The sequence below is a fragment of the Homo sapiens genome, chromosome 9 (assembly GCF_000001405.40).
Source record: "Homo sapiens chromosome 9, GRCh38.p14 Primary Assembly".
NCBI lineage: Eukaryota > Metazoa > Chordata > Mammalia > Primates > Hominidae > Homo > Homo sapiens.
The window spans coordinates 36,738,035-36,750,931 of NC_000009.12; the positions used below are offsets into that span (position 1 = coordinate 36,738,035).

At 51.6% G+C, this 12,897-nt stretch overlaps 2 annotated features.

Annotated features, from left to right (window-relative positions):
- Window positions 371–1,570: an enhancer, noted in NCBI's record as "MED14-independent group 3 enhancer chr9:36738402-36739601 (GRCh37/hg19 assembly coordinates)". NCBI's record gives its function as "activates an origin of replication core promoter dependent on BRD2, BRD4, P300/CBP and CDK7 cofactors, and independent of MED14, by STARR-seq in HCT116 cells {active_cell/tissue: HCT116}" and the evidence as "EXISTENCE:reporter gene assay evidence [ECO:0000049][PMID:35650434]".
- Window positions 10,413–10,532: a silencer, noted in NCBI's record as "silent region_19897". NCBI's record gives its function as "represses an Ori minimal core promoter by ATAC-STARR-seq in GM12878 lymphoblastoid cells {active_cell/tissue: GM12878}" and the evidence as "EXISTENCE:reporter gene assay evidence [ECO:0000049][PMID:35858748]".

Consider the following 12,897-nt stretch of genomic DNA (forward strand, 5'->3'; position numbering starts at 1 on the left):
AGACAGGGTCTCACCATGTTGCCCAGGTTGGTCTTGAACTCCTAGGATCAAGCAGTCCTCCAACCTCAGCCTCCCAAAGCACTGGGACTACAGGCGTGGGCCACCCCACCTGGCCAAAAGTATTTTTAATGTTTTAATTTTATTAAACTGAACAACATAAAATTTCTAACATTTGACTGTTCTTGACTTAAAAAATGGCAACTTCATGTGATTTGACCAAACATAAATGATGCTGTGGTGAACATACTTGAGACTAATCTTTGCATAATTTTTTTCTGATTACTGACAATTACATGTCTAGGATTGCATGCCTAGAAATCCACTTGCTGAGTGAAAAGGGATGCGTGCTTTTGAAGAGACCCACACTTTAGTATACTGACCTCTTGGCGTGTGTCCAGGGCAGAGAGGAAACGGACCAGGGTGAGAAACCGTCTTAGGAGCTTGCTGTTGGAGTTGGGCTTGACCATGTCCTGGCTGCTCCCCTCACTAGGCTGTGGCCCTGGACCAGTGGCAGCACAAAGGGGGGAACTCCAGCTCTGGAGAGCCATCTGTCTGCAGGGTTTTCATAGTGAGACAACTGGTGTTTTGTTTCAGAGATATTGGTGGTTTGGCGAAGGCTCAGCCATTTCAAACTCCATCTAACTTCCACCAAGCTTCGAAACTCTGCCTGAATTTAAGATCCTCTGAGCCTTGGGATCAGAAACCCTCTTTTCCAGGTGACTCAGTAATAAGACGTGACTCAGTAATAAGACGGCCCCTCCCTTCCTGCTCCTTAGAGATGAGGCCTTTCTAAAGGACTCACAACTGCCTCCATGGTTTTGAATGTTTTAAAATGTAACTTGGCCTTGAGGGTGGATCCAGGCCTGGCTGTGGAGTGAGGTTCTGATGGATTCTGGGGCGGCAGACCTCTTGAACCATCGAAGCGTGCAGGCTGATTTTTAAAAATAATTGTCCTTTTTAATGATGTAAAACATGTCATCTAGATTAAAAAATAAACACACTTTATTACTTTCCCAGTCTTTTCTTCCTCCCTCCCAGGGCCAGATGGGGATTGCTTGAATATTTCTGGCGTATTTCACATATTTAATAACGCCCTTGGAGGTTCTTCCAGAACTGATAAAAATGTGGGATAGACAGTGTTCACAGAAAGGAAAGCTGGTGGTGTGTGTTCGTGTGTCGGGGTGGGGGTGGGAGATGGGGGGGGGCATCTGTTTTGGAAGCAAGTCAAAAGGCATGTACTTTTTATCTTGAGCAACAAAGGACATTGTTTCACTGTCTCCCCGCCCCAACTCTTGCCTTTTGGGGGTTGGGGGAGCAGAAGGAAGAAAAGAGAGAAAAAAATCACTGCAGCTAAAAAAACTAGAGCGGCTTCAGAGAATCAGTCCTTCCCCCCTTCCCCGACAGCTTTCCACTAGCTCTCTTGCGCTACAGCGAATCCAAGAAAATAATTAAAGCTTTAATTTATTTATACGTCTTCTCTATAGATATTATAGATCTCACAATCGCCGCCTCCTAATTTATGCACGCAGAGCCTGCGGCAGCTCGGAGCCGCCAGGGTTGGGGGGTCCGGGCCCCTCGGAGCGGGACGGCTGTCAGCCCCCGCGGTGGCCGCACAAAGGCTGGGGTCCCGGCGGGCGCACCTGGGTGATGGGCACCTCCCGAGACTCCCCGGGACGGAGGCCTGACAGCGCGCGGCGGCCGCCTTAATAGACTGCGGGATGTTCTCCGGGAGAAGGCTGCGCCGGTCCCCGAGGACAGATCATCAGGCAGAGTGGTCCCCGGAGCAGGATTTATTAGCAGACAGGATGGGGAAGTTGATTAGCCTCCGCGGCTGAACGGACATCCTGTCAGACAGGCCTCTTAATCCAATCACTTACCTGTGGAGGGGAGCCGGCTGCCTCCTCCTGGCCCCCTTCCTCCTCCCATGGCACCTGCGGGGCCACGCGGGGTGCTCCGGAGCCAGGGTACACAGGCCAGGCCTTCCGTGCCTGGCCTCGCTCTCTGATTCAGTCTCGTGGTTGATGCAACCTGCAGGCTGCTCTTTTGGGCTCACTGCCCTGGTGGTGACTCTCCCGCATAGAGACCTTACCTTCTGTGGCTCCCTCTTCCCCACTCAGGAAAATCCCCTTCCCCTCCCTGGGCTTGCCTCATTTGACCCTGAACCACCTTTCCAGCTTCAGCCTCCACTAGTCCTTCTCTTGAGTGGCCTCTCTCCATTTCCTGAACCTCTCCTGCCTGCCCCCTGCCCTTGCTTCAGGTATGGGGTCTACTTAGACTGTTCTCTCTCTCTCTCTTTTCCCCCAAATCCTTCTTGTCCTCCAGGGTCTAGCCCACAAGTCTCATCTTCCCTGATTCCATGCCCCCTCCCTCCAGGCCCAGGTAATTTCCCTCTCTTCTGAAGCTTTATCCATCTGTGGTGGGTGAGGATTCCAGGCCCAAATCCTGCTTCCACCTCACCAGCTCTGCAGCCCTGGCCAGATGACCTCACTGGCCTCCCCTTCTGGGGATGACAGCAGCAAGTTCCTCCAGGGTCTGCTGAGGACCAAATGAGAGGGTGCATGTTGAGAGCTGGCGGTAACGTCCAGCCCACAGCAGCACGCAGCGGTAGGTGATTGTTTCACCCTGGATTGGGATCATTCTGTATGGTGGGGTCTCCTTCACAGTGCTGAGTTCCATTAGGACAGGGGCCAGGCCTCACCATCTCCTCCCTCTTTCCGTCTCCCTTGCCCTAACACCAAGCACAACCCTTTCCAGATAAGATGGCTGAATGTTTGTTGAATGCATGGGGCAACCATCTGCCACACAGTGGACCAAGGATGGCGAACCCTCTCTCGGAGTGACCCCACGGGGCCCCACCTTTGGCTTACCTGACCATGGAAGAAGAAGGACTGTGAGGGACAGGGCCTCCATCTGCTTCTGTGGGGCGGGCATTGAGATGTGTGTTCTCTCCAGCTCTTGTCAAGAGTTTAGGAATTCAGACCCTATTGATCCACTGCGTCTTCAAAGCCATCTGTTATCATTAAGAAACAGGACCTGAGCCCCGGATGCAGCGGCTGGCACTGGGTAATTTAGAGCATTTTACACACACACACACACACACGCACACACACAGAGAGAGAGAGACATGGCTAAAAGAAGTTAGCTAAGGCAAACATTGAACACTTGGCAGGCAGGGAGGGAAAGAACCAGGGGACTCATAGAAACCAAAGGTTTCTACACCGCTACATTAAATTCTACTTCCTGGTCACAGATTTTCATGGTTGATTGTAATCGTCTATGGGCATTTGACTTTGGCAAATGTGGATGCCAAGGTCTCACCCAGGCCCTGCCACCTCCTACTGATGTCTGTCCCTTGCTGCTCACAACCGTCAGTCTTGACTGGGTTGATGTCAAGGTCACTGGTCCCTAGTTTGCGCCATCTTCCTTATTTTCCTTTAAAACAAACCAGAATAACATTTGCCAGACCACAGTTGTCAGGCAACTTTCCCATGCCTTGGTGTTTCTCAAAGATTTCTAGCTGTGCCTGGGTCATTTTGGTGTGGCAGAATTTACCACTGGAAGAAGATTCAGAGCAGGGGCCTGGTTAGATGCTGCTACTGATTAGACGTGTGCTTCTAGGTGGGGTGGCATGGGAGAGTGTGGGCACTTAACCGAACCTCACGGAACCTCAGTTTCTTCATCTATCATATGGGGATAATATTTGGCCCACTACTACAAAAGGGGAGATTTAAGGGTAAGATGAGGTGCTTGATAGGAATGTGCTTTTAAAAGCACAGTACTATACAAAATTAAGGCATAACTACTATCAGGAGATTGTGCCTAAAATATCTAATACTCTCAGTGCTAGGTGCTGGAGAAGTAAAGGTGACCAAGCCTCACTCTGCTCTCAGTGAGTTTCACAGGCTAAAGGGGGAAACGAATATGGGGACGCTAACTAAGCAACCAGCAGGATCCGTCCAACTGGACCTTGGGTCGCCCTTTCAATCCTGGAGCCCCTGTTCCCTACAGCATGTGCCATCAGAAGGGGCTCCGGCCAGCACAAGGTCAGGCAGCTGTGGCACTGCCCTTGTTCTGCTGTTTGATTCAATGGATGAGATGGAGTAAACATGGAGGCTTCTCCTTTTAGGATGGGGAGTTTATGTCTTAAGAAAAATGACAGATGCCACTGAACCTTTTTTATGACAGATTCACTGAACACTGACGTCTGTTGATTGTGTCAATAGGGAGAAAGAGGGTAGAGAGCTGAAGAAATTCCTACCCCGAGCTACCCTCTCATCCATGTATCTTTTTTTTTTTTGTCTCCAGTCCTTGCTTCGGGAATCTCTGCTCAGACCTGCAGTGCCCTCTCCAAGGGGGATCAGCTAAAATGCCTTCCATTGCATGGATCCTGAGCTCCCCCGACAGGTATGGCAGCTGGTAACTGCAGCTTCCCTACCCCTCCCCCAAAGGGGCAGGTGCACAGCTCTGATCTGGGGCTCCTAGAGGCAGAAGCACTCTTCCGGACTGTTCTGTAAGTGATTCTCACTACGACTGGGAGGAGGGAAGGGGACTGTTGTCCCAGCCTCTCCCATTCTGTGCCTCCCTCTGCCCAGTCTATGGGCACCCCTTGGGGCCCCAGAACCCTTCTTAGGTAAGCAGGAGTGCGTAGGATGCAGCACCAATGAGGAGAATAAATTTGCTCAGGTGAACATCCCCTTATTGAGGGAAGGTCCTTACGTTTTCAAGATGATTATGGCATTAGAGCTCAGAGTGCAAGCGCATATATCTCAACACAGATGAGCTACAGGGCCCCGATTCCTCTGCCTGTTAGGGGCTGACCTCTTGGGATAAAGCAAGGGGCCGTGACTCAGATCTGAGGAGAATAAACTGGTATTTGGCTGAAATCACTGAATTGACTGAGACTAGGGGCCTGGCCCCAGGGCATTCTGGGGTCGAGAAGTGGCCCCGTATAGACCTGGGACTATGGGGCTCTGTGGTTCTCCCAGGCAGAGTCCCCAGTCCCCATAAACTGCGGCCTGTGCTACCCCATGCTCCTCCCCACCGCTGTCCAGAACCCCCATGCCTGCTCACACCCTTGAGCGCAGACAGAAGAGGACCCCGTGGTTCCTAGTGGGAGGGGTGGGTAGAATGAGCAGTGCTCTGGCCCGCACAGTCGCCTGATGCTGGCTGCCTGTGCTCAGCAGCCTGGCAGGTGGGAGGAGGGAGACAGCTGGTTGGGGTTTTGGGAACAGGGACCATGTTTTAATAATCTCCATATCCCCAGCACAGAGTGGGTGCTAGAAAATGTATTGTTGAATCAAAGGATAGTTGAGTAGGGGGCCTGCAGATGGCAAGGCGGGACAGGGCCCTGCAGCCTGAAGAAACTGCATGAGCAAACGCTGGAGGTGGTCACAGTGCCAGGTAAGGCTGAAGGGGGAGTGGCAGAGAACTCACAGCTGGAGGGATGTACAGGGCTGCCCACTTCAACCCCTCCACCTCTCTCAGAATGCTGAGCTCATTCTAGAGCCCCAGCAGCAGCCTTCCTGGAGATAATCCAGCTGCACTTGAAGTCTCTGGAGACATGGAGCTCATTCTTCCCTTGACATTGCTTTGTATCTTGGGCGTCTCTGATGGATACAAAATGAACTTCTTTCTTAAATGAAGTGGGCATTGATTCTTTTTGGAGCACCTACTGCTCCTCAAGCTGCCTGCTTCTTTGGTGCTACATTGCCCAGGGCCTTCAGTGCCGGGCCAAGGAGTTTCGTCTTTCTTCTGCGTGCAGAGGGAGCCCTGGGCAGCCTCTGAGCAGGAGGACCATGAATGGGTGGAGCTCTGCTTAGGAAGGTGACTCTGCTGGCCCATCTGGGGCTGGAGTCCTAGAGGCAATACAGCCTGAAGTCTGTGTTTCTGCACCTAATCACACTCATTGCTTGAATTTATGGACCTGAGGTCAGAAAACCAGTGACAACTATTTCTGTTGCCTGACAAGCAAATCCAGGGCTTGTGACCCTGGGTATGGGCTGGGAGGAGGCACATGTAAAAGTTTGTATCTTAGGGTCAGCCAGGTCTAGGTATCTTGGAAGCCAGTGCCTCCCAAACTCCCTTGCCCCTCTGGAGTCTGTCTGCAGAACCAGATGGTAGGCAGGTGTGGGCACCTAGGGTCTTGGGGTGAAGGGAGGCTCTAGCTCTCCTCTGGCCCTGACAAAGCTGATGGCCATTGTGAGGACTGGCATTCAGTGAGAGAGGCACTCAGCCCTCCACCCTGAGGTCAAGGCTTGCACTAAGGTGGGCCCATAGCACCTTCACCCACCCCAGGAGCCCCACTGACCTTTGCATTCTCCAAAAAAAGTCAAGGTGATGACAAGACACATCTATCGCATCTCAGCCATCATTGCAGTTGAAAGATGGGCCCGGAGCAGGTGGACTGCTTCAATTATGATGGATGAGGACGGTGACAGCTCTCGGGAGAGCCGCGGGAACCTGGCAAGTGCTCACTCAGCTATGACTCCTCTGGTAGCAATTTGACAAGATCAGAGCACTTTATGGAAGTGGAAAGTTTGGGGACCTCGGGGTTTGCTTGGCCCGGGGACTCTGGCTGCGGAAGCCCTCTGCCAGCAACACAGGGCGCTTCCTACAAGGGCCAGCGAAGGGGAGGCAGGAGCAGCCCTTGGGGAGGGGCTCTGCCTCAGGAGATCTCCTGGCCCTGGGACCAAGCCTGGGACGTGCCTGCTTGAGTCTCTTCCCTGCCACTGAGAACGGCCCCCTGCTACCAACCAGGTGACATCATGGCTCCAGCCACAACCTCACAGGACAGCTGGGCATCTCCTCTGAGCCAGGCCTTGTGCAGAGCACTGAGAGAGAGTGGTGAACACCTCTGAGGTCACTTCCTGTCCTCAGGGCATTCTCCCTGTAGATTCCAAGGGGACTGGACAGCCCCATCTGTGGTCAGATGTGACACTGGGCATGTCACCTCTTCTCTCTGAGCTTTGGTTGGGTCATTTCTTTATGAGGATGGCGGTTGTGTATTAAGTGAGGTAAGCTATGAGGAGCACTCAGCTTATCAAAGGTGGTATTCAATAAATGTTAGATTTCCTTCCTGACCAATTCAGCTGTCCTTTGGTACATTTCTTTATTTATTCAGCAAATTTGGCAGAGCCCTTCTTGTGTGCCAAGCACTGGGCTTGGCTTCTGGGAATTAGATGCGGTTGTAGAAGAGGGGCTGACAGCTTTATCTGCTTAGGGATGAGGATGTGGTTGGATTAGACAGTCCCTTGGCCCTCGCTGCCCTGCAGTGCTTTCTGGGCAGAGGCATCCATCTTGCAGAATGATGGCCAGGCATAGTCCTGGCTGCAGTGCTCCTGGAAGCTGAGGCCCTGGTGACTCCTGGGCATCCCAGGCACTGGTGGGTTTCTCTGCATTAATTCTGCTCTGAAGCCAGGATTCTGGGGAGTCTTTACTCCAGATAGTAACCTTTCTAGAGCGAGAAGGGATCCCTCAGCACGGGCAGCTTGACCCAGAGGTGCTCCAGTTCCTCAAATTCTTTTTTTTTTAGAGGGAGTCTCGCTCTGTCACCAGGCTGGAGTGCAGTGGCATGATCTCAGCTCACTGAAACCTCCGCCTCTCAGGTTCAAGCGATTCTCCTGCCTCAGCCTCCTGATTAGCTTGGACTACAGGAGCACAACCACCACACCCAGCTAATTTTTGTATTTTTAGTAGAGATGGGGTTTTTACCATGTTGGCCAGGATGGTCTTGATCTCTTGACCTCGTGATCTGCCCGCCTCGGCCTCCCAAATTGCTGAGATTACAGCCGTGAGCCACCGTGCCGGCCATCTCGAATTCTTGTTAAGCAACTGTTGTCTACCCTGGGGGGAGAAGCAGACAAGACTCAGCCACATCCTGCCCTCTAGGAGTTCTTGGGCTGGCAGAGGGAGAATGAGGCATCAGGCATTGAATAGCATGCAGTGCTGGTAAGGAGGCCGCGGGGAGGTTCTGAGGAAGGTGGCGTCCATTCTGGCAGGGAGATCAGGGAAGGCTTCTCTGGATACAGAGGGACACCGGAAAGAGCTGAGGAGCACCACATGCGTGCCCGCACTGAATGCACCCAGGCAAACCCCCTCCACTGGGCCTCAGCGTCCACATCTGCACGGTGACAAGGCTGCCTCTGTGGTTTTGCCTCAGTCCTCCTGGCCCGGACACTGGTAGGCTCAGGTCTCCATGTTCCCCTTAGAGTCAGTGCCCAGGCGAGTTGCTCTACAATCCTCCCTGGTAACTGCAGTTTCACTTGAGACTTCCTTGTGTATCCCAGACAACCAAAGGCAGCCCCGAGGGGCCCCTGCTGCACCCCAGCCCCCACCTGGGGAAAGATGCCAGCACAATTTTACAGAGATTGAGTAAATATTGCTATGTGTTTTACTGAACTATTGTTATTTTATCTGGGGAAGAGAAGATGTTGATGTCGGTGACAAAAATATTAAAATCACATACTAGCTGTGTGTCCTTGGGAAAGTTATACTCTCTCTGGGCCTTAATTTGCTCCTCTATGAAATGGGAGCTTTAGTCCTACTTGATCTCCTCTCTGGGATTGTGTAAAATGCTGACTCCACGAAACAGCTGACAGAGAAGAGATGTGGTGAGGGAGGGATGGTGGGGGAAAATGATCTCTAAAAAAGTCGTGGCCAAAGTGAGGAATGGCTCTTCCCTGCTCTCAGAGCCTCTTGTTGCTGTGTGTGTTTTGGTGGGTGAGGGGTGGCATAGGGCAGTGTTGCAGCTTTTCCCCTTCTAGCACAAGTGGCCAGATACAGGGCTGCTTTCTCCTGTTTGCCTCTCAGGCTACCTCTCAAGAGGACCTCTTATTCTACGCATAAAGCCTCTGGCAGGAGAAAGGCATGCAATGGAGAGAAGTGCTTTTCAATGGAGCAGACCCCCATCAAGGTGGAGGAGCCCACACAAGCCCCTGAGCTCACCTGGGTTATTGCTTGGACCTTCTCCTCTGGTTTAATCTCTGCCCTAACCATCCCTTCATGGCAAAAAGAAGAGACCCAACCCAGAAGCCACAGACCAGGCCTGTGGACCGAGGACTCTGCTTTTGCTCCGCCCTCCCTTCCCCATCCCCACCATGTCTCCTTGTCTAGGAACCGAACCCTCAGCTCAGACCTTTCAGCATTTTTAAGACTGGGAAGGTTTTCCAGTGTCTCCTTCAAGTTGCCAAGTCTATGTTCATGAGTGGAGGCAAAGAGCTTGGGCTTTGGGGTCCAGCTGACCTGGATTTGATCCCTGGCCCTGCCACTTTCTAACTGGATGACAGTGGGCAGATAATTTACCCTTTCTGAGTCTCAGTTTCCTCACCTGCAAAATGGGTATTATAATAGTGCCTATTTCACAGGATGGTTGTGAGGAATAATGAGATAATGTGTGCAACATCTGTGTGAACTTTATGGTTTTTCTGCCCAGTTGAGCATTTCCCTTCTCCCAGGAAGTGCTCCCAGTTGTTCTCAGGGCTGCAGGTCATGGCACTGCACTTCCCTGGCCAGAGCACATGACTGAATGCAGCCGATCAGAGTCTGTCCTTGGGATTTTATACTGTAGCTGGAGAAAGAAGGGCTCTCCCCTGTCTGTTGTAAAGATAAAAGATGCAAGCTTGAAGTTGGCTGCACATTGGGTTCTGGTCTTGCCCGGGTGGGGTACAGCTGACCCATCAGAAAATAACAACTGCAGCTGGGTGTGGTGGCTCATGCATGCAATCCCAGCACTTTGGGAGGCCAAGGTGGGCGGATTACCTAAGGTCAGGAGTTCAAGACCAGCCTGGCCAACACGGTGAAACACCGTCTTTACTAAAAATACAAAAATTAGCCAGGCGTGGTGGTGCACACCTGTAATCCCAGCTGCTTGGAAGGCTGAGGCATGAGAATAGCTTGAACCCAGGAGGTGGAGGTTGCAGTTAGCTGAGATTGTGCCACTGCACTCCAGCCTGGGTGATAAAGTGAGACTCTGTCTAAAAATATAAAAAGAAAAAAAGAAAAGAACAACCTGGAAAGAAGCAGAGAGGAGGAGAGAGAGACACTGGATTGCCCTTGAATCCCTGGTTCCAGTTATCTCGTGGTCCAGCGTCATTCCTGTTTTTCCTGTGGTTTCAGTATTTGAGGGACTGCCCATAACATTTCCCTTTTGGGTTAGCTGGTTGGAGCTGGGTTTCTGTCACTTGCAACCAAAGGATCCCAACTAATGTAAAATTACTTAGCCTAGTACCTGGCTTATAGCAAAGGCTCTATAAGTGGTGGCTCTAAGTATTAAGTCAGACTCTGCGGCTTGACATTGGTGCTGAATTTCCATCTCCATTTATCCCTGGCCACCCTGTTGTGTGCACTTGTGTATTCTCTCTGCCACCCGGCACCCAAGACTCTAGGGCTGCCTGAGTGAAACACGAAGCTGGTGGGTGGCTCGCGGCCTGAGCCTGCCTGGTGAGGACGGCAGCAGCTCCGGCCCATACAAAGCAGCACCATGGACAGTGGCAGACCAGCCTGAGAATGCCTGCCACCACGCCAGACACAACCGAGCTGCCGACATCCTTCCCCATGTCGGGGCCTGATAATGAACAAGTAATTTATGTCCAGGAGTCAGTGGAGCCTGTCTTGGGCCAGGGCTGAAATGTGACTACGAGGGATTCCTATGAAGGTCATCGCCCTGCTCTTGTCACTGCTAAGGGTTGTCTGTAAATGGCATCCCTCGGAGGCATCACCTTGCTCTCCTGGCTTCTTTGTGGGGATAAGGGTGCACTTTTGAGAAGGTGAGTTGAGAAAAGCACTGGGCTTCTTTTGAGCCATGCCCTTGCAGTGGCCCAGGAATTCTTGTCAAGTGTGACCTCAGATGTCTCATGGGTGAGAAGGGGTGACCCAGGGTGGACTGACACGTGAGAGGCTGTGCAGAATCTGTGAGTGGGGAGGGCAGGAATTGGGCATCCTTCATTGGGGACAAAATAGCTCCAAAGACCTTCTGTCTAAATTAATTTGAATCAAACTCCAGATATGACAAGAATGGTGTTCTGGTGACAAAGTAACAGAGCATCTTTTTTGAGAGTATGAAAAGAGGGGAAGGGATAAAGGAGAAAGCACTAGGCTGGAGGGTAGGTGAATCATGAAACCCCTTCCTATGGGACTCAGTTTCCCCACCATTTCGTGGATTGGAGAGGCTTCACCATTCTGGGATGCGGTCAGAGTATGGTTTAATGGTCCCATTTTATGGATGAGGAAACTGAGACTTAGAGGTTAAGTTGTACAGATTTCACATTCCAGACTTGGGCCTTTGGATTCCTAACCCAGTTCCATGTATTGCCCAGCCTCATATGCTGTTTATAGAAACTATGGGATCTCTCTTCAGCAGAGAGGTCTCATGGAGTCCTCCCAGCAGCGGCCCAGAGGCCCCCATTCTGTCCCACTGTCATTTCAAAGTAAAATTCCTCTGGAAATTGCCATGCTGCCTCCTGTTAGAGAGGGTGCAAGGGGAGAGGGTGCTCCTGGAGGAAAGATTTATTTTCCATGGGAGGTTTGGTGATTTGTGTGTGCATTGCCTCAGCTGGGAGGGGTCACCTTCCAGTGGAGGGGCTGAAAGTGGGATCATGCCCTTGTTCCTGCGCCATGGGGCCCCCCCCGTCAATGCCATCCTTTCAGCTTCACTTCCTCTTTCCATGTTGCAGCTGGAGTGTCTGGCCTGAAACATGATCAATACACTATGAGCTGAGTGCTGCAGTTTTCTTTTCCTCCCAGGTGGGAACTACATTTAAATTTACTTGAAGGTTAAAAAAACAACACCTTCTATGAGGGGAATTTAAAAAAAGAATGGGTTGGGAATCTCCTATTAACAGGAGAACGTATCACCCCAAACCAAATGAGCCCTGTTTGCCGCTCACCCCACAGCTGAGCTGAGCCTGCTCTGGACATGTGGGCCCTGGTGACCACATCACAGGGCCTGGACAGTGTTCACTGGGTAGAGGGATGCTGATGGCTTGGTTGGCTCCTGTGGTTGGGCTTTTAGAAAATACCCCTAAACACAGCTTTTCCTTTTAGTTCCCTTTTGCAGAACTCCAGGAAGCAGGTAGGTCATGGATTACCAGGTCCATTTCACAGATGAAGAGATGTCACTCAGAGAGGAAGAGTGGAAGAGAACAGCCACCAGGCTGCAGGCACTCCCGCAGGGCCCTTTCTGCTGCATTTCTGCCAGCCCCCAACCAACGGCAGGTGCAGAAGGGGCTGCACAGACATACAGGGCTCTGGGGCACCTGGCCAGATGCTGCCTGAGCAGGCTGGGGGAGGTGGTTTCCTTCACATGGTCTCAGAGCTGAGAGTCCCTGAGCTCTACACACCTTGGACTGTGTTCCTTCTGTTCTTCTAATGCTCACTGTCTTTGTCTGTGAGAATATCCCAATCACAAACTGTATTGGCTTTTATTTTTAGGGGGAGATTTGCAAAAGGGGATACACGTCTATTCGGAAATATTCGGAATGTAAAGCTGAAAGGGGGGGTGGTAATCTCACCCCTGCCTCCCCTGTCTGGCTGTACCCTTCTTCACTGCACCTCACTACCAGGGAGAGTTGGCTCTCCCTGGAGTCAGACAGACTTCATCCAAGTCTCAGCCCCACCACATCCCAGCTGTGTGACATAGGGGAGGTCACCTAACTTCTCTGAACCTCCGTCTCTTCACCTACAAAAGGGGATAATAATTAGGGTGACTGTTAAAGTCATCCAGATGGGGACACTATTGAGAGTGAAAGTTGGCACTCTTAATAAGCACGTTGGGACAGTGGGCGTGGACCAGGGCTGTCCTGGCAAACCAGGATATTCAGGCACTTAGTGATAATAGAAGTACCTACTCATAGGTTGTTGTAAGAATGAAATGCTAAAAATGCAAAGATTAACTTGCATAGA